The 21900-nt window shown below is 40.9% G+C and overlaps 1 protein-coding gene across 5 annotated transcripts in view; it reads left to right on the top strand.

The window, feature by feature from the left end:
• Positions 1-21900, top strand: part of MYO1D (myosin ID) — a 384603-nt gene that overhangs the window by 202759 nt on the left and 159944 nt on the right. For all 5 annotated transcript variants that reach the window (XR_001752521.3, NM_015194.3, NM_001411088.1 and 2 more), the window contains 3 exons: positions 15028-15251; positions 19745-19889; positions 20419-20523. Coding sequence is in view for 4 of the 5 variants with exons in the window: in NM_015194.3 (NP_056009.1) it covers positions 15028-15251; positions 19745-19889; positions 20419-20523 (474 nt within the window). In the remaining variant the exon portion in view is untranslated. The remainder of the gene's footprint in view (positions 1-15027; positions 15252-19744; positions 19890-20418; positions 20524-21900) is intronic.

Here is a 21900-nt window from a genome sequence, read left to right as displayed (position 1 = left end):
AATAACATTTTAAAATGTTTACTCATTATCAGTAGCTGTTATGATAGAATGCTGGTATATGCTCTTATGAATCATCTAATGTTGCATCCTCAGTGTACAGGTGAAGAACCCAAAGCCTATAGAGTTTGAATTGCCTGATTTCCCAGTACTTGGTGGGAAATGCTTGCCTCTTCCTCCAAAGTAGGGCCGTTTCCACTCCACCCCCACACAGTGCCAGTCAAGGAGCTGTTCGTCAGAACGTTGAAACAGCCTCACTTTGGAGTTCAGGAATTCAAGCTTCATACATGGAAGTTGACATTGTTGTGGCATTTGATCAGATCTTACTTTTAAGGAATTAGTCATAGTTGTTTCCCAGTTATCTCATAGGCATATTTGGTTCTTCCTAGAATATCATAGATGTTTCCCATTCTAATCATTGCAGTAATATATTATACATCAAGAAAAACTGGAAGGGAAAATAATCCAAACACCAGTATTTTGTAAAGATACAAAAATATTTTCAATTTAATACATTGACACAAAACTGATACTTGGATGGAAATCCAGTTACCCCAAAACAATTAAGAACTATCGATGAGCATCTAATGTGTCATTGGGCCTATATGCAAAAGATTATCTGGAAACTGGAAACAATTATCCAGTTTTGCTATATCACTATATCACCTAGGCTAGTAACTCTTGGCCTCAAGCAATCTTCCCACCTCAGCCTCTCAAGTAGCTGGGAATACAGGCATTAGCCTCCATGCCCAGCTCTTCAAATTTTAAGTATTACATTTTTCCGAAGCCTTGTTCATCATTAATACTTTTTAGTTATCCTTTGTTTATGAGCACAAAGTTGACTTAGCTCAGCTATCAATTCCTATTTTATTTTATTGCCAAAATTTTAAATCAGATATTTTCTTCCTTCAAAACTGTTTCCCCAAACTGTGATTTCATTCTCTTATTAAAAAATGTAGCATGTTGGCGGGGCACAGTGGCTCATGCCTGTAATCCTAGCACTTTGGGAGGCCGAGGCAGGCAGATTGCCTGAGCTCAAGAGTTCAGGACCAGCCTGGGCAACACGGTGAAACCCCGTTTCTACTAAAATACAAAAAATTAGCCAGGTGTGGTAGCACGTGCTTGTAATCCCAATTACTCAGGAGGCTGAGGCACAAGAATCACTTGAACCTGGGATGTGGAGGTTGCAATGAGCCAAGATACTGCACTCCAGCCTGGGCAACAGAGCAAGTCTCTGTCTCAAAAAAAAAAAAAAAAAAAAAAAAAAAAAAAAAAAAAGTAGCATGTTTATGTAATTCCTTACAATGGTCAACCAGAAGTTAATGAAGAAAGCCTTAACTAACCAATAAAGAGACTTTTTTTTCTTTAAAGTATGGTCGAAGCCAAAAGTTTTCAATATGTATATAGTTTGGCAACAAACCATGCTCTCTGCCTTTTACTAAGTGCAACAGCTGCAGTGTACAAAACCCACTTCCTCTCAGTGGCCACATCTCTGCCCTTTATTATTATTGGAATACTATAAACCTACTCCTATTAACAATCAGCACAATGAAAACTGTGCTGATGCCATTAGAGATCACACTCAATTCAACACTTTATGATTGGCTATAATCCAAGCACTTTGGGAGGCTGAGGCAGGTGGATCACCTGAGGTCAGGAGTTGGAGACCTGCCTGGCCAACGTGGCAAAACCCCATTTCTACTAAAAATATTAAAATTAGCTGGGTGTGGTGGTGCATGCCTATAATCCCAGCTACTCAAGAGGCTGAGGCAGGAGAATCGCTTGAACCCAGGAGTTGGAGGTGGCAGTGAGCTGAGATCACACCACTGCACTCTAGCCTGGGTGACAGAGCAAGACTCCATCTCAAAAAAACAAACAAACGAAAAAAAACCTTTATGATTGGGAATTATCTGCGTATATATGAAGAATGTAGTAGTGTAGTAGTTTGGATTATGTTTGAAACCAAGCTTCCTGTTAATTATTATAGCAAGTCCAAGTCTCTCAGAGGGAAAATTAAATAATAGGCATTATTGCTTTATATACCATTAGACTGCTTTAAGTGTGATACATTTAGGAGATGGCATGATCAATTCTTGGAGCCAGACAGAGCTAAGATACAGTTTTATCATTTACTGTGTTATCCAAAGTATATCACTCTCTTTGAACCTTAACATCCTCCTTTGTAAAATGCTAAAAACATCTGCCTATTGGGACTATTGGAAAACTTAAAATGAGATAGCATGTGTCCCCTGGCACAGAGCCCAGCACATGACTGGCACTCACTCCCTTCCCTTCCTCCAATCTGCCAAATACCACATCATGTTTGTTCTGTAATTTTTGTTTCCTTATGCAGGGCCAGGACTCAAATGTAAAATTTAAGGCGGTACCAAAAATGTGGTCAGGATAGATAATATGTTCATGCAATATTTTTAAAAATCTGAAATTAATGGAACAAATCTGTGGTGAACAAAAGATCAAACTTTTAAATAAAGACGGGATCCATATTATTGAACTTTTTCCTTTTGCCTCAGGCTCCAATATGGCCCGACATGGCACAGCCTTTATATATAACTCAGTGCAGGTTAACATATGAATTAACTTAGCATCCATTAAACATGTTTCCAGTTTTTTAAATTAGCACAGACTAATTTACATACTCATAAAATTGCCATCATTTTCAATTTTTATATATACTCACCAATATTCAGAAAGCACAAGTACAACAAACTCCTTAGAAGAAAATTCAAATTTTTAAAAAAGGTATAATGACCACTCTTGCTTATGTAAAATTGTTAAAAATACATTGTGCAGTTGTTCTCCACTATCCCTTAAAGATACCTGTTGTTTTATTTTGAAATAATTTTAGATTTACAGAAAAGTTGCAAGAATAATATAAAGAATTCTTATGCCTTTCGCCCCAGCGCCCAAATGTTAAAATTTTAACTATATTTGCTTTATCATATTGACACAGGATTTTTCTTGGCCCCTTTGCTAGACTCGCAGCCCGGGCACCCTGTCTACTTGGCCCACTGCACTCAGCCCCTGGCAGGAGGGAGCACGTGGGCGAGCGAGTATGGGATCTGGCTGGCCGCTCCAAGCACCAACATAGAAGCAAGCTCCATGCAGGGTCCATGACCAAACCAGGCATATTACCCCCAGGGGAATGCAGTGATGCCCAGGCAGGGGTGCCTATGACTCCAGAGCCCCAAAGGGAGTGTTACAATATGCTTATTAGCTCTTTTAGCTCTGCCATCTGCAGCCCAACAAACAGGGATGTGTTAGCAGCTCCATCAGCCTTTTGCCCCACTCTGGCCTGCAGCTCCGGGACAGGCATGGCCCTGGGCCAGCTCAGGACCACCACTGCTTCTCTTCTATGGGGTGGCTGCTCTCCATTGACACAGGCAGAGGGTCAGTGTTACAGCCTTTCTGAATATCTGGTCCTAAGCTCTTGTCCTGCATCCAAGAAGAATGAGGTCATGCTGACAATTGAAGGGTGGTAAAGGCAGAACATTTTATTGAGCAACAAAACAGCTCTCAGTAGAGAGGGGACAGGCGGGTCAGATCATCGCTCCAGTGTGGCTGAGTCTGGGGCTTTTATAGGCACAGGATAAGGGAGTGCATGCTAATTGGTTTGTGAGTATGCAAACATGGTTAAAACAAAGGCACCAGTCGAAAGTGGACATGGTGTAAAAACAGGGAAGGGTATATGTAAAATAGGTGAAAGGTGGGGATCAATCAAAGGAAAGCACACCAAATGGGAAGACAGGTTCTCAGTCTCATCCATGGATTTGACTTGTAGCTTGGACTTCAGGCTTTAAGCTGTTTTTGGCTTGAAGGTAAGGTCGCACCAGGGACCCACCTATGTCTGCCTAGGATTTCTCTGTCTCCTGCCTCTATCAATGCTTGTTCTTTGGTTCTCTCTCTCTCTCTCAATCTGTATATGTGTATATCTGTGTATATAGATCTATTTGTGTGTATATATACAATTGGTTTTGGAACTATTTGAGAGTAATTTGCACATGTAATACCCTTTACCCCTAAATATTTCATGTATATTTTCTAAAAACAAGAGCATTCTCTTCTGTAACTATAGTATAATTATCAAAATCAGAAAATTCACACTGATACAATGATATTTTCTATGAGTTTACTTGGTTTAGGAAAATGTCTTTCAGCCAGGCACAGTGGCTCACACCTGTAATCACAGCACTTTGGGAGGCCAATGAGGGCAGATTGCTTGAGGTCAGGAATTCGAAACCAGCCTGGCTTACATGGCAAAACCCCGTCTCTACTAAAAAAAGACAAAACTTAGCCAGGCATGATGGTGCACACCTGTAACCCTGGGCTACTCAGGAGGTTGAGACAAGAGAATCGCTAAAACCAGGAAATGGAGATTGCAGTGAGCCAAGATCACACCACCGCAACTCCAGCCTGGGTGATAGAGTGAGACTCCACCTGAAAAAAAAGAAAAAAGAAAAAGAAAATGTCTTTCCTGACAAATGTGTATGCCTCTTATTAGCTAAATAAAATGTGTATAAAATACCCCATTTCTGTTACTGCTTTGACTTTTAATTAAAGTAAGCTTTATACACAATAGCTTTCATAGTCTAGGTTTTCTGGTATAATTACTCTTTATCTTATTTGAATAATTCTTTTATTTTGTTTGATTTCATTGCTTCCCAAAAGGATAGAACCTGGTTCTTTGGAAATTGTAGAGCAGGAAAACACTTCCTCTACCTGCTTAGATTCAGTGCCTGGGGCCTGCAAATTTAACTCACAAAAGACAGATTAACTGGAGAAAAGGCATACAATTTTTACTGATGTAAGGATTTTATATGCACAGGAACTTCACAGAAAAGAAGTGAAAAACCTAAAGAAGTGGTAGACTCAGGGTCTTATATACCATTTTAAAGAAAGGCAATAAAATGTGACTAGACATGAGATAGGGGATCTGGGATTCTAGGGCCAGTAAATTGTGAGAAAGTGACTAGGAACTGCATGAAAGGAAGTAATGGAAGATAAAGGCTATTTTAGTAAGACCTATTTATGTAGACTCATCTCGATGTGGACTCTTCCTCTCTGGTGGTGAGAGTGTTCTTATCTTCCTAGTACAAGGAGAGGGCACTTTTCTCATGGGAAATATATCCTTTTCAGGGAGATAGGGGAAGGGCAGAGAGCTTTTCCCACATCTACTATTTCTTAGTTGTCTTTAGCTCAAAATAATCTTTATGCCAAAGTGGCATAATTTTGGGTGGCATATCCTGATCCCCTTCAACATTAGTACTCTGTGTACAAAGAAATCTGTAGTCAGTTATGGTTTTTTTCAATTCTGTTAAAGGAGATTTACATAAAAATTCTCAGAGCTTCGGCCAGGCGCAGTGGCTCACACCTGTAATCCCAGCACTTTGGGAGGCCAAAGCGGGTGGATCATGAGGTCAGGAGATCAAGACCATCCTGGCTAACATGGTAAAACCGCGTCTCTACTAAAAAATACAAAAAATTAGCCAGGCGTGGTGGCGGGCACCTGTAGTCCCAGCTACTCAGGAGGCTGAGGCAAGAGAATGGCATGAACCTGGGAGGCGGAGCTTGCAGTGAGCCGAGATCACGCCACTGCACTCCAGCCTGGGCGACAGAGTGAGACTCCATCTCAAAAAAAAAAAAAAGAAAAAGAAATTCTCAGAGCTTCTAATGTGCTAATGTACACCATGAATCTCCATAAAGGGAATTGCAGTATGTAGCTTTTCCAAACTTATTGAAATTGGAACCCTTTTTTCGGGGAGCATTCCAAAAGCCCTGTGTTCCAGAATGTACTTTTAGAACTCTGTGGAATCAATGTTAGGGTATACCTTTGGCTGGATCTTTCAAATATCAGCTATTTTGGCAATCTAGAGAACTAGTCAAAATTGAGATTATTTGCAAACCACTAAAGCAAATGTATACTGTGTTATTATTTTGATGGAGTACTGTGTGTTTTGAATGCTGGGCATTTGTCACACAAGGTCAAAGCCTGACCTGTACTCTTTACCAGGTGGTAAGCCACCTCGCTATCAGACAGAGGTAGACTTGGAGATGGTAGAGGCTGTAGGAGTCTCCTGAAAAAGCTGAAATATTGCCAGACACCACTTTGGATCTGCTCAGATGCTCAAACTCTTGACCAAAACTCTGTAGTTCTACATCAAAATGCAGTTTAGATAGTCTTGAGAGATTTTCAAGATGAATTACCAAGTTTTTACCTCCTCTTTTAAGAAAACAAAACCAAACAAAAGAAAGCAGTCACTTTCCTACAGCTCCACAGAGTGTTTACAAGATTGAATCCTGGAAAATCTGTCAGAGTTACTTAACCTATTATCTGGAGTAATTTTATTTTCATTTGTCTGCAAAATAATTGCGATTTGGGTTTCAATAGTGTTGATATTGGGCTGTTCTTCTGATAGTAATTGACCAAAAGGTTCAATTACTTCTTGAAGTTACAGTTATAAGGAGGCTGTCAGATCATGTCATCATCATAGTGAAGAAATCATTAATAGGCAGCAATTGTGTGCACTAAAGAATTGCAAGGTTAATGAATCTGGACAAGGCCATATATATAAAATGGGCATGTCCTAAACGAAGGTTCATGGGTCAATTAACTCGGCAAGTTAGTCTCCCAGACCAAGGTAAGACAGCTCAGGGGTGGTCACTTCTAAATTATGTTCCACCAAGCACATACCAATACCACCACCTGCAATAGTTAAGTTCATCAGGACGGCTTGTAATGATCAGACTCACATGTACTTTTTGTGTGTGTGTGGCTCTTCATTTTAATGATTTTTACATTTGTTTATTGACTAAAGATTTGGTTCTTTTGTGTCTTAGATTTATCGTATGTCTTCCAAAATATTATTAATTTATCTGTAAAACGAAGGAATTTTGTGTCAGGAATTAAGCTAATAGCCTATAAATTATATTCACTGGATTATATTTTCTTCTTGTTACATATTAACCTGCTAGTCCGGTAAAAACATGAGCACCAGCATTTTAAAAATAGCATATCAAGTCTTTATTCATTTTGTCCCTTATAGAAATGGAAGAGGAATAATTCAGAAAGATTTTTCTGTCTCTGAGTCTTCCTTTAAAATAGCTCTTAGAGCCACACCCTTCATCAGTCAATCATGAAATATCCTAAATTGAATGTGACTGTCATATTCTAAATTTGATGGAATGTGTCCATACCAAATTTTGTATATTTATAATTTGCTCAGAGTTCATTCAACGAGAGTTCATTATTTACATAAATAAACCCTCCTCTACCACAACTTTTTAACAACCGTAAGGTGTCAGAACTCTGCCCAAATAACCATATGGGTTATGTAGACTTATCTCAATGTGGACTCTCAAAGTTCCCCATTATGTAGACTCATCTCAATATGGACATCTCGAAGATCCCCATAGGGGGAACTTAAAGATAGAAATGGAAGAAAGATGCTTCTAAAAATTGTCCTTAGGCATGGAGGACCTGAGAAGCTAGGAGCTGAAATGTTGAACAATTCTGTTTGTGGAAACCAAGAGAATGTCTAATTCAGAGTACCAGGGAGCTGTGAAGTAGTGATTTATATTGACAACAAGACAGAAAGAGCCCCCAATGCCCATAATGACTAGAATTTTGAAAAACAAAACAAAACAAAACATGGGGAACTAGGAGAAAAAAAGGAAAGCTGACCTGTGTTTGATTCTGAGACGAAACGGAAGATACATAATTGCCCTACTTCTTAATAGAGTGCAACCTAGAATCCTACTTTTTTTTGCAAAGTTTAATGACTGTTAGATGTTGCTTTGAAACGTCTGACTGCTGAAGAAGTATGCAGCAGAAGAAAAAATGGTAGAATTAAGATGGCATTATGAAACATCTGGTTAAACATGACAGTTGTGTTTATATCCACTCTCTTAACATCTCGAAAAGAGCAGAAAAGGAATAAAAATTGGATAAACCTACGAGGACAAATAGTACCATAGTGGAAACAACAGAAGACAAGAGGTGTCAGCATAAGTTTAGAAGTAAGTAAATGAGTCGTTACTCCCAGGCAAGTGCCTGCAGAGAACAAGGCAAACAGGCAAGACAGTTTGCCTTGTTCTGACTGTAGGGCTGTAGAAAGATTCTAGACTGGGAAGGACTGGGTGCCTCTGTAGGTAGGGATGAGGGGTGGCCCTGACAGAGGAGGTTGGTTAAAATCTATATAAAGAGGAATTAGACACTAGGTCTCTCCCCAGACCACACAAAGCTAAGGGACTACCTCAGCCTCATTCTGATAGATGGCAAGAAGTTTCTTGTCTGAGTAAATTGAACAGGATTTAGAGAAGTTCTGAACTTAGGGACACCAGGCTTAGTGGAGGAGAGGGGTCAGGTACCATATTGAGACCAAGGATATTAAATGAAAGTATAGACACTGAGGAGTAAGATTCCCCCCACCACCCACCCCAGACCCCTTCACTCTGAGGATTCTGGCAGGAAAGAGAAAACACTTCATGATCCTGACATTCTGGGGTTCCCCACAGATGGCTACTCCCAACCTAATCACCCTGTAGTGAAGTTCCCCATCCATGAAGCACTTATACAGAGCTTCTAAGGGCTGTTCACCCTTCAGTGAGAGTGGAGGGCCAACGATCCCTATACATTTGAGGAAGGCCTTGGGCAAGGCCAAGACTAAGACAAACAGGAAAACTGGGGATTTAGAGGTAACAGGTGCAATACAAGGAACAGTGCAAAAAATAAAACCATAAGTTATATACTCAGAGGTGGGATGAGATGTTGCATTCATAAAGTAAGAGCAACATGCTTTTAAAAGAAATATTACAAGAGCAAGGATGAGCTCTTGAAGATGGAAAATGTGACAGCCGAAGTGAAAGATTCAATATCAGACTTGGAAGATGAAGTAGAATACATTCATTCATTCGGCAAATATTATTAACTAGGTCCTTGGCATTGTTCCAAACAGTGGAAATACATCAGTGAGCAAAACAGACAAAGATCCCCAGCCTAGTGGCCCTTAAATTCTAGTGGGAGAGAGCATAAATAACACCATAATATGTAAGTTACGTGATATGTTGGAAGGGATTGAGTGCTGGGGGAAAAAGAAAAAGCAGAGCATGGTAAGGAGAATTAAGAGTGCTGGGCGGGTCGGGGGGCGGGGAGGTGGAGACAAGTTGAACTTTTAAATCAGAAGGCCAGGGCTGGCCTCCCTTGGGAAGGTGACTACTGAGCAAAGATGCAGAGAATGAGGAAGTCAGCCATCTGATGGCTGGGAGCAGATTATTCCAGGCAGAGGGAGCAACTAGCACAAAAGCCCTGAGACAAGAGGATGCCTGGCCTGTGTAGGGTCCAGCAGGGAGGCCAGTATGGCGGGAGCGAGCAGGGGAGAGGACAGCGGGAGATGAGGTGGGGAGGAGACAGTGTCAGACCACATAGGGCCATGAACGCTATAGGAAGGACTTTGGCTTTTCTGCTCAGGGAAATAGCCACTGCAGAGTTTGAGCAGAGAAGTGACATGATCTGGCTTTGGTCTTAAAAGGATCACTCTGGCTGCTGTGTTGAGAATTGGCACCTCAGTTGCAAGGATGTGTGCAACGCCATGCCAGCATTCTCTGTTTATACCTGAGTCGTTCCCTGTCAGCAGGCCTCTCTGTTTGCCGCTGTCCTCTTTTCTGAGAAATGGTCCCTTGCTTGCTCCTCTGTCAGTATGCTCTCTACCCGATATCCTCTGCTGACTTCACCTCGCAGGTCCCAGTGTGTGTCCTTCAGCTCCCACTCCTCTGGCCTCATATCCTAAAGCATGTAACGTCTGGCTGGTTCTACTTTTGTGTTAATATTGTTTGAAGCAGGGCCCCTTTTGGCTCCCTTGTTTGTTGAACCTCTCAGCCATATGCAAATAAGTATTAAGCACTTGTTTTTTAATATAACATTTAATTTTCTGCTTTCTGAGGCTTTGTCATCAGGCACAGTCCTTTACAAACGTAAGCTTTGTATGACTCAACAAACTCAACAGTTTAAGCTGCTTTAAACAAAGAGAGAAAACAGGAAAATCTGTCTTATACCTTAAATTCCAAAGCTGCAGACCCTTGGTGGGAAAACCAACCAACAACCCTCCTGCCACACATACACACAAACTTTTATGGAAGCGTATCTATTTAAACCAAATATGCTTAGATTATAAGGGAAAATGCATGAATCATTTTTTCCTGTAAAATCATTTTCCTCTGTAGTTTTCAATGCTTGTCCTTTGATGTTAAAAAATAGAGCCTAAGGGACTTCTCATAAAGTTGGTGATATAACTGCAGGTTCACAAAATTTCCTTCCCACAGAATTGTGTAAGATTAACAAATATCAAATGTAAAAATAACAAAGAACATGCCATCAACCCCGAAACCAAGAAAAGATTCCAACTCCATACCATCAACTTTGAGAAGTGTCATCCAAAAAAAGAAAACTTGGGCCAAATTGAAAGAAGATGCTTTTAAAAAATCGATATGTTCTTCAAAGAGAAGAATGGAGCATGGAGAAGTACAAGGAGGAAATTCTGAAAAGTCGTACTACTTTTGAAGGTGCTACATTCAGTATAAAGGTGTACCAGAGGGAGGGCTTAGAATACCCCACACCTTCATCGGGGACCCTTTCTTTCATCAAGAAGACTTCTTTCACAAGCAAGAAGAGTAGGCAAGGTTTGCCATCTTTCCTGCCTCTGATATATCAATAAGTGGGTGTAAAATGAGGAAAGCCTCTGCAAGCAATGATTATTACAGCCGAACCAAGGAAAAGCTCCACTAGACATGAAAAAGGAACACTTGGCCCCATAACAAGCCAAAAGCCTATGATACAACCCAGATTTGAAGCAAACCTCTGATGCATTTATTTCATAGAATGAAGTAAAGCAGTTACTTAAAGCCCCTGCATGCTCTCCTCTCCTCTTAGGCAACTGAATGACTGGATAAGGTGTATAAACCATGGACACCAGTCCATGTTATAGGTGGAAGAATAAAACAATATCAAATCAGGCACTGTTTGGGGGCAAATGGCAGACTGAGAAAGAATGACTTAACATTTACTAAACAGTTTTCAGGTCACACTGACAAGTGACGGAGGCAAAAAATCTGCACATACAAAAAAAGAAAGTAGCACAATTGCCGGGTGCGGTGGCTCACACCTGTAATCCCAGCACTTTGGGAAGCCAAGGCGGGTGGATCACAAGGTCAGGAGATCGAGACCATCCTGGCTAACACAGTGAAACCCCGTCTCTACTAAAAATACAAAAAGTTAGCCAGGCGTGGTGGCAGGTGCCTATAGTCCCAGCTACTCAGGAGGCTGAGGCAGGAGAATGGCGTGAACCCAGGAGGTGGAGCTTGCAGTGAGCCAAGATCACGCCACTGCACTCTCGCCTGGGTGACAGAGTGAGACCCTGTCTCAAAAAAAAAAAAAAAAAGAAAAGAAAGTAGCACGACCCACTAAAGGTAAATAAAGAACAGACTTTCAAATAGTCATAACAGCCTATGCTTATTGGGCACTGACTACTCACCAGGCACTATTTTAAGTGTTGCGTATGTATTAACTCCATTAATCCTCATAACACTACAAGGTAAGCACCATTATTATCCCCATTTTACAGCTAAGAAAACTAAGGCACAGAAGGAAGCTTGCCCAAGTTTACACAGCTCTTTTTTTTTTTCTTTTGAGACAGTCTCGCTCTGTCACCCAGGCTGCAATGCAATGGTGCGATCTCAGCTCACTGCAGCCTCCCCTTCCCAGGTTCAGGCGATTCTCCTGCCTCAGCCTCACGAGTAGCTGGAATTACAGACGCGCACCACCACACTTGCCTAATTTTTTGTATTTTTTAGTAGAGACGGGGTTTCACCATGTTGGCCAAGCTGGTCTGGAACTCCTGACCTTGTGATCCGCCCACCTTGGCCTCCCAAAGTGCCGAGATTACAGGCGTGAGCCACCGCGTCCCGCTGCGCAGCTCTTAAGAGTGGGACCAGGATTTGAAAACAGGCAGTCTGAGTCCAGAGCTTGTTCTCAACTACTCTGCTTTTATAACTCAAGAAACAGACAACATTTTAGACAACTGCTTTTTACTTTCAAGGAAACTTAAGAGAATAGAAATGTATTGGCCATACACCTTTTCTTGAAAGCTACTGGGCGTGGGGCGGTGGGGGAGAACTCGGATCCAACGTGGAAGAGTAGTTTAAAAAGCCCCAGGATAGGGAACTGTTCAGTGGATACAGGTAATATCAAAGAAAAAGATTCAGTTAATGTGCCTGACAAGTAAAAAAATTACTGCTAATCATTTGATGGGTCTGTAAGAGCATTTGGCAAAAATTAGCAGTAGGTTTATAGTAAATAAAGCAAATTTTAAAAACAAGGCAGTTACTAATGATAGGTAAAAACAAATACACACAATAAAGAAAGAACATTCATACTTCTTAGCACAGCAATGAACCAAATATATGTGTAATATATAACACAATGCAATATAACATATACATATCATATGTAAATTATTCAATATATAATAGAGTTAATATAGGTAATGTAAACATACTTTAACTATGATTGGGAAGGTAGATGAGAAGAAAGAATGATGGTGAGAGAGCTAAATCTCCATCTTGTGTGATTTGGATAGTGTCTAAAAGGATCAACCAAGAAATCATAATATACGTGGTTTTTTGGGGGGGTATTTTTTTTTTTTGGGACAGGGTCTCACTTCCATCGCCCAGGCTGGAGTACAGTGGTGCAATCTTGGCTCACTATAGCCTCAACTTCCTGAACTCAGGCAATCCTCCCACCTAAGCCTCCTGAGAAGCTGGGACTACAGGTGCACACCACCACACATGGCTAATTTTTCTGTATTTTTGATGGAGACAGGGTTTCACCATGTTGCCCATGCTGGTTTCAAACTCTTAGGCTCAAGTGATCCTCCCACCTCAACCTCCTAAAGTGCTAGGATTATAGGCATGAGCCACCACACCTAGCCATATTATCTATAAATATGACAGTAAATATGGAAGAAGCATCTAAAATAGTTTGTGTTGATTGAGACTGGAGGTAGGGAGGTGGGTTTAGAAGGATGAAGAGAAGGGCTAGTGTGTTTTTTTATATGCATTTTTGTGCTATTTCATTTTTTCAACTATTAAAAACCTAAATAAGCCAACACAGATGAAATTATAAAGGTTGTCAGAAAAGACCCCCTTTATAAAGTAGGTTTCTTGTAAAAGAAATAAATTACTGCTTAAAAAGTACTTACTTATAAAATGTTTTTTTCAATTTGCTAAAGAAGCTAACCAAAAACATTCTAATAGGAAGCTCTATAAAACACTTCTTGAAAATTAAAGATTGATATCCTTTATAGATGTGGCTCCAAGGAGTCTTAAATTCCTCCCAATAAAAGAAAAAAGCAACAAACAGTAGGAAACTTAAAAATGTGTTTTGTCTAAGAAATTAAATCACATACTTTCACCCTGTAATTGTATTTTTTTGGCTTTTCAAGATGCTAAAGAAGGGAGCTTTATTTTTGCACTTGGGTGGAGGCGTAACAAAGCCATCTGTACAGTGGATTTGGCTACAAGGAAGGGAGCCATTTTGACTAAAAAGGGCTGCTGTACTGACGCCACATGAGATGACGAGTTAGTTTTTATTGCCTCATTGTCTTTAAACATTCTGTTTATATGTGAACTCTAGGTTACCATCACAAATTGCCCATGTGTCATGTTTCCCTTAAATGTTATGGTTTTTCTTGACCCATTGGGGTCCCTTGATGATCTTCTTGCACGTAGTGTGCAAACAAATCTGTATCGTGCAGCAGGCTGAAAAGGGAGAACACTGCAAGCACATGGTGTACTTTAGGAGTCCGCATGAGGACAAACCTAAAACAACTGAGTCAAATGAGGCATTGTGCAAGTTTTGCTTAGAGGAATTGGTGGGCACAGACGGGGATTTTTAAGAAGAAATAAAAGAAACCTGAGGGAGTCTGCAGAACCCATACTGTGGGCTTTGAACTAGAGGTTGAAAATCTTGGCTCTGAAAGGCCAGGGACTAGGGAGGGAAATAATATAATCAACCTAAGAGTTGGAACAGTTATTTAAGTAGCAGCAATAAATATACTGGGGCATGATGGCGATGTGTACAAGGAGTTCATCGAAGAAAGCAACTAGGGTTGTTTGGCATCTTGGAGACTGGTAGCAGAAAGGGAAAGAAAGGGGTTTACACTTCCATATTGTGGAAGAAGGAGTAAAGTGGTGGTGGAGAGGATATACAGGGGAAGAGCCAGTGATTAATTGAAGATCGCACCAAATTTGTTTTTGCTTGAGAAGTTGAGAAATATGGGTACCTGACAAAGGATCCTGAAAAAAAATAAGTATCTCTGACTTTACCATGCTTGGATGAAGTTGGCATTGAGGCGTTTATATAGTGTCATTGATTTGTGAGCACTGAAAAACTTTTAACAAAGATTCACAGGATATTAGTACGTAATCTGATTTACCCTTTACCCATGAATCTTTGAGAGTTTACATAGTGCCGCGGGAGAGGAGGTGCACAGGCTGTGTGTAAATCAGTTTGTAAATCCAAAGTGGCGTTACACCAGTGGCCAGCATGTATAATCTATGTAAAGTTAGGTTTCACAAGAAAACTATAGATGCTTATGGCATGATGTTCTGACTCATCTCGCTTCCCTTCAGCATTCCTAAAATATTTATCCAAAGATATTTGCATTTTGGCTTTCTTCTTTTCATGACAGTAGAGTTAAAACAGGACTCAGCTTCAGGCTCAGCACACACTTCAGTGTAGAATAATGAGCAGCTAGACAGCTGAAACAAAATGACTGATGTGACTCCCCACGCCATCTGTTGGTGGCAGGTGGAACTGACATGCTTTGGCTCTGGCTGATTTTTGTGCACACTTGCAAGTTGCCTGGTTGAGTTTGTAAGTAGAGGAGCTGCTATAATATCAAAGCCATCCACAACTCAGCCGGTCAATAACGTTTTCCTTTTTCTTTCTCTATTGTGAAGGTGTGGCGGGGCACCCTGGCCCGCATGCGGTACAAAAGAACCAAGGCAGCTCTGACAATAATCAGGTACTACCGGCGCTACAAAGTGAAGTCGTACATCCACGAGGTGGCCAGACGCTTCCATGGCGTCAAGACCATGCGAGACTACGGGAAGCACGTGAAGTGGCCAAGCCCTCCTAAAGTTCTTCGCCGTTTTGAGGAGGCCCTGCAGACGATTTTCAATAGGTAAGAACGTGCTGCTGTGTGCTGCATCCATTTATGGTGGCACAGTTAATACTATGCAAAGTCACAAGTCTGAGACCGTGATATTGACTCAGCTATTTGCTGTTATGACATTTACCTTTACCTTATGTTTTCAGTTTTGTAGATTTGGCTTTCAAAGAGCATCTGCTTACCCCTCAAAATAAAGGAACTGCCAATTTGTTTTTCCTGTAGCAGCTGACAGCAATGTGCCACAACCCCTGGACACAAGCCATAGTTAAGATAAGCTACTAGCATGCTGTTTCTACTTACTTTTATTAGCTAAAAATAAAACCACCACGCATAACTCAAACTAGAAAATCCATTAATCCTTTCAAAGCAGTGGTTCTCAATTCTGCTGCACCTTAGAATAACAAGGAGTTTAGGAAATATGCCAGCACCCAGGTCCTACCACCAGAGAGTCCTGTTTAATGGCGCTGGAGGGGTGGGGCCCAGGCAGAGGTCCTTTTTTAAAGTTTCCCACGTGATTTTAAAGTGCAGCCAAAGGGGAAAATAACTGTTTTTAGAGCGAGCTGTCTTTTAAATAAATAAAAACCCAAGTAAAATTTGGTACCTTTCCAACTGGTCTTTATTTTTTTATAACCTGCCCTGGATCTGAGTGTGTAGTTATTCCAAGTCCTTTCTCCTTGCTTTTTGAGCTTATTTATTGCCAGTATACACCAGATATATTTAGTTCTGTCTTAGATACAGCCATCTAGTCACATAAACTAAGCTACTTCTTCTCAAATATAGTCATTTTATCATGATACTCCATAAAGAACACTTTGAACTAATTGATATGCTGAATGTACAAGAACTAATGTATAATTCTGTGCTAAATCAGATGTTATCTTCTTTAGATTTTGCTTGAAATATAATTGATGGAAGGTATCAAAAGATAAAGAAAAATGCATGGAAGAAAACTCTTTAATATATATCTCATATGCTTTTTTAAAAAAAGAAATAATTGCTCATAAGAAGAAAAAATACAGAATTATTGAAAACAAAAGTACCTCAACCTTCAGTTCTCAGATATAGTACTATAAATAATTAGTTTTCAATCTTGGCAGGCTTTTTACGTAGTCACATATGATTTGAGCATTTTTTTCCCCTTTTTTACACAGATAAGATTATATGTATGGCTATATGACTTTACTCAAAAATAAGTCTTGAAGATCTGTCCATACCAATAAAGATCTGTGTAAGATTTTAAGAGCTGCAGGAGATTGTTATTGATTTTGATTAGATTGCACTACAGCCTATACAGTCTTCTATTTAGATTTTGAGGTTTTACTTGTGGTCTAGAATTGATTGTTTTGTACAAAATTCAATGTACTCATTCAGCAAATACTTACTGAATGTCTGCTGTGTTGCAGGCACTGACCTAGGTTTCAGGGATATGGTGACAAACAAGAAAGATGTGAAAGACAGTCCCAGCCTTCCCAGGCCTTATAATCAATGGCATTTGAAACTAACAGGTCTGCTACATTTGTTCTGTATACGCACACGTGCGTGCACACAAGCACACTCGCACGCGCACACACACTGAATCTTGCCAGTTGTGTCCATCTAGTCCAGGGTTCTGCAAACTTTTTCTGAAAGAGCCAGATATTAAGTATTTTAGGCTTTGTAGGCTACAGATGGTCTCTGTCACATATTCTTCTTTGTTTTGGTTTTGGTAAACATGTAAAAATGTAAAAACTATTCTTAGCTTGTGGGCAGTACCAAGACAGACCATTGGCCAGATTTGGCACAGGCTATAGTTTGCCAACCCCTGATCTAGGCACTATCAGGAATTTTTTGATCTGTGGAATACAGAGAGAGATGTATTAAAGAATTCTACTGTGATTGTAACATTCTTATGTTTGTTTTTCTAAAATCTCAATGTGCATCTAATCATGTTTCAGTTCACTCCTGTTCTTCACAGTAATTCTTTTTAATTGAGCTTTCTCCATGCCTGGCTTTGTCCCCTTTTCATGTCATTGAGGCTGGTGATTTTTATGGCTGCAGCTGTTGTTGGCTACACGTATTTATAGACAGCAGTTTGCTTGATTAGGATGAGAAGCATGGGTGGCTTTCTCCATGGTTGTATAGGTCAGGTCCTGAATCCCCCAGTGTGCTTCTGTGGCCTTTGGAGTCAGTCAGGGACAGACCTTGTCCTGAGCCACTGTGGGCAGTGAAGACAGGACAGGCTGACCAGGTTTGTAGACTGGAAACAGACCAGTAGACAGAGCAAAGATGTCTCTCCACCAGTCATGAAATTTGGAGATCAAGGGCTGATTCGAGAAGTTGCTTAGGAAGCCACTGAGTATTGTAAGACCCACCTGTCACAGCGTCCTTGACTTTGACCACCAACTGCTCTAAGTCTGTCACTCTTTTAGTCTCTTCTGGAATGATCTTAGGACAGTCTGTCTTGTTGGAGTGTTGGTTGTCCATAGGAAGTAAAGAAAGGATTCCACTATTCTACTGAGCCATGACTTCTTCATGGTTGTTGCTTTGGCAACCTACTATCTCTGACCAACATGTGGCCTGCCTCACTGCAGCCAGCCATTCCATGTGCAGGGAACAGGCACAGCTTTCACCTTAAAATCCTTCATCTCCTGCCCTTGCTACCAGTCCCTGCCACTTCAGGCTTCAGGATTCTCATCTATCCCTCTGAGGGGTTTTCTCCTTCCACTGAGTAGAGTGCACTGCCCTGAGTGAGCCGCTTCCCCATCAGCTGGATCCCATCTGCTTTGTGTCTTCCAGAAAGTCATTACACTTTCTACTTTATTGACATTCCCATTTTCTGGTGTTGTTATAAATGTTTCCTTATTTTTATATTTATTTGGTTATTTCAGTGGGAATTTTCCATTTTAGTTAAATCTCATTCTATGGAAACAAGTTTGAGAACAGCCGGCCTTGATTATTCGTCTGATCAAAAGGAAGTTCTCTGTTTGCTTCCAACCTCCGTACTTCAAGCTCCTGTGGCAGAAGAGAGGATATAAGCATCGTGCAGGGCTAGGGTGCCGCCAAGCGCATAAGAGAACTTGTACCTGTTTTTTCCCAATCAGGAACAGGTTATTTTTGGTTTAAGCTTTCAGTTGCTTAGCCAAAAAATTTTGGAGTCATCCTTAAATCCTCTCTGGCCCCCACATCTAATCCATTGTCAAATTCTGTTTGTTCTTCCTTCAGAAATATGCAGAACCAACACTTACCTCCACCTCCACCTCCACCTCCCTGATCCAAGCCACCTTACTCTAGCATGTGTGTTTCGGAAATAGCCATCTAACAGGTCTTCCTGTTCCCAGCCTATAGCAACCACAATGACCCTTTTAAAGCATGAGTCAGGTCATGTCCCATCTTTGTTCCAAACCTTCCGATGGCTTCTCATCTCATTCAGAGGAAAGGCCAAAGTCCTCATCATGGTCTCATGGCTTTGTGGATTCTGACCCTGACTCTCCCAGCTCCTTACACTGCTCCTCTGACGCACCAAGCAAGCTCACATCCCGGAGCCTTTGCACTTGCTGTGTTCTCTTCTCTTCCTAGAACACTCTGGTGCAGGTCTCCGTATGACCAGCTCCCTCACGGCCTGTAGGTCTCTGCTCATCTATCCTTATCAGTGGTGCCTGCCCAGACCACCCTATATAAACCACCCTATATAAACCACACCCACTCTGCATTCCTTCCATCTTCCACACTCCCGGTCCTCCTTGCCTTACCTTCACCATCCTACATACTATATGTCTACTCATATATTTGCTATCTGTCACTTCTCTCCAGAAGACAAGCAGCTAGCAGAAAGGACCTTTGTTTTGCTTATTACTGTGCCCCCACTGCCTACAACAGCACTGGGAGTTTAGCAGGCACCTAGAAAACCTTCGTTGAATGAATGAATGATGAATCCAATTTTCTATGCCCTAAATATAAATATTATGAGAGCCCATGTATCACTAAGTTCTAGTTGCTTTCAAAACACACAAACAACAAAGCAAGTTTTAGGAAAGATCTGTCTACATAAAATGATATGTATTTTAGCAACTTCTGTGTGTATTTTGGAGGCATTTTACTTTTTTTAGCATGCCAGTGCTTTGATTTCATTCTACTTAATGACAGCTTCAGTTATTTTTGAGAATGCATGGAGCCCAGGCGTGGTGGCTCATGCCTGTAATCCCAGCACTTTGGGAGGCCGAGGCAGGCAGATCACTTGAGGTCAGGAGTTCAGGACCAGCCTGGCCAACATGGTGAAACCCCATCTCTTATAAAAATACAAAAATTAACCAGGCATGGTGGCACACACCTGTAATCCCAGCTACCCAGGAGGCTGAGGCAGAAGAATCACTTGAACCTGGGAGGCAGAGGTTGCAGTGAGCTGAGATCATGCCATGCACTCCAGCCTGGGAGATGGAGGGAGACTCAAAAAAGAAAAAAAAAAAGAGAGAGAGAATGCATGGGATTGCATTTCTAAAGTCTAATACATGTTGTCTATTTACTTGTAGATGGAGAGCATCCCAGCTCATCAAGAGCATTCCGGCCTCAGACCTGCCCCAGGTCAGGGCAAAGGTTGCAGCCGTGGAAATGTTGAAGGGTCAAAGGGCTGACCTCGGGCTCCAGAGGGCCTGGGAGGGCAACTATCTTGCTTCAGTAAGTCCAAGGGAACAAAGTGAAATCTACTTCTACTTCCTCTACTAAAAAAGAGAAGTACATATCTCCAAAGAATTTGCAGAAAGGATAAAACACTTTTAGAAACTAAATAATTTCTATGAGATACTAAAACATTTTATTGCTTCTAAATGTACAGTATTTGATGTTTCTCCCGTGTTTAAAAGGGTTCTGTGTGTTGTATCCATATGTATTAAATACACTCTATAACCTGGCCTTTGACCATTTAAACCTTCCCTTACATCATTCAGTGACGATTTTTTAATTACTACCTTTATATTAATTATTCCCAGAGCTACACTTTATCCTCTCTCCCATTCCCTATTTTAAAATTTGTATAGGATCTTTGATGTTACAACAACCATTTAGTAGCTTACCATCTGGGGTGAGGAGATAAAGAGTGCATGTGTGAAACTATATAAGTGTAGTTATAAAGCAGTACACTGAAAGATTGCCTTTCCTTCTAAAATGCTAAGCATACTCATTTTGTCTTGTTTCCTTTCTCTTTCAGAAGCCAGATACACCTCAGACCTCAGGCACTTTTGTCCCTGTTGCTAATGAATTGAAACGGAAGGACAAATACATGAATGTCCTCTTTTCCTGTCACGTCCGTAAGGTAAGGCAAGCTTAAACCAGATCATCTTGGAAAGGAAAGACTGATTCAGATGAAACTCACTTAAGCAAGCCTGTAATAAAACATAACAGTAGGTACATAACTAGCTTCATCATCAGTTCACTAGACCTGTCTGTGCTGAGGCATTGTAGGAATGGCTGAGGTGACTACAACTTTACAGTTAGGCTATAAAGCCTTCCTAAGGGAAGTGATAACCTTTTTTTTTTTTTTTTTTTTTGGAGACGGAGTTTTACTCATGTTGTCCAGGCTGGACAGCAGTGGCGTAATCTCGGCTCACTGCAACCTCCGCTTCCCAGGTTCAAGTGATTCTCCTGTCTCAGCCTCCCAAGTAACTGGGATTACAGGCATGCACCACCATGTCTAGCTAACTTTATATTTTTAGTAGAGACAGGGTTTCACCATGTTGGTCAGGCTGGTCTCGAACTCCTGATCTCAGGTGATTCACCTGCCTCAGCCTCCTAAAGTGCTGGGATTCCAGGACTGACTCACCATGCCCAGCCAATTTCTTTTTAAAACTAGAAAAAAAAAACAAAAAAACTAGATTGCGGGGACCTCTTTAAAGTCAGGGATTTGTATTTCACTGCATGTGTATCTTTCATAGCAGCTGTATATCTGCTTTATATTTAATTGTCATTTAGTACTTTTTATACCTACATTATTTCTTTTATTTATTTTTTTTTTTTGAGACGGAGTCTCATTCTGTCGCCCAGGCTGGAGTGCAGTGGTGCAATCTCGGCTCACTGCAAGCTCCGCCTCCCAGGTTCATGCCATTCTCCTGCCTTAGCCTCCCGAGTAGCTGGGACTACAGGCGCCCACCACCATGCCCGGCTAATTTTTTGTATTCTTTAGTAGAGACGGGGTTTCACCATGTTAGCCAGGATGGTCTCGATCTCCTGACCTCGTGATCCGCCCGCCTCGGCCTCCCAGAGTGCTGGGATTACAGGCGTGAGCCACCGCGCCCAGCCTATACCTACATTATTTCTATAAAACAGGGTTTGGGAGAGGAAGAACTGAGTTTTAAAAAGAGGAGTAGGGCATATTGAGATTCGGAAGGTGAGGGAAAAGTTACCTGCTATGAATGTATTTGCTTGTCTGGTGCAGGATACTTGGGCTGCTATTTACCTGGAGATGATAGCAGTTGGGCAAATGGAAGTTGGGAAGTGGAAGGCAAAGGACGTAGCTAGTCTTAAAAAAAAAACCTTAAAATACTTGTTTAGAAGAACACAGAAGAATTGAAATTATCATTAAAAGAGTATTTTGTAGAATTATCCAAATACATTTTAAAATATTAATGAAATTATAATTTTTAAAAAATATTAACTAGGTTGATCCAAGAAGAGACAGTAACATAAATATGGC

Source organism: Homo sapiens, chromosome 17 (assembly GCF_000001405.40).
Source record: "Homo sapiens chromosome 17, GRCh38.p14 Primary Assembly".
In the NCBI taxonomy this organism is placed as follows: domain Eukaryota; kingdom Metazoa; phylum Chordata; class Mammalia; order Primates; family Hominidae; genus Homo; species Homo sapiens.
Note: the sequence above shows the minus strand (reverse complement) of the source record. Positions and strands in the feature narration are given on the sequence as shown.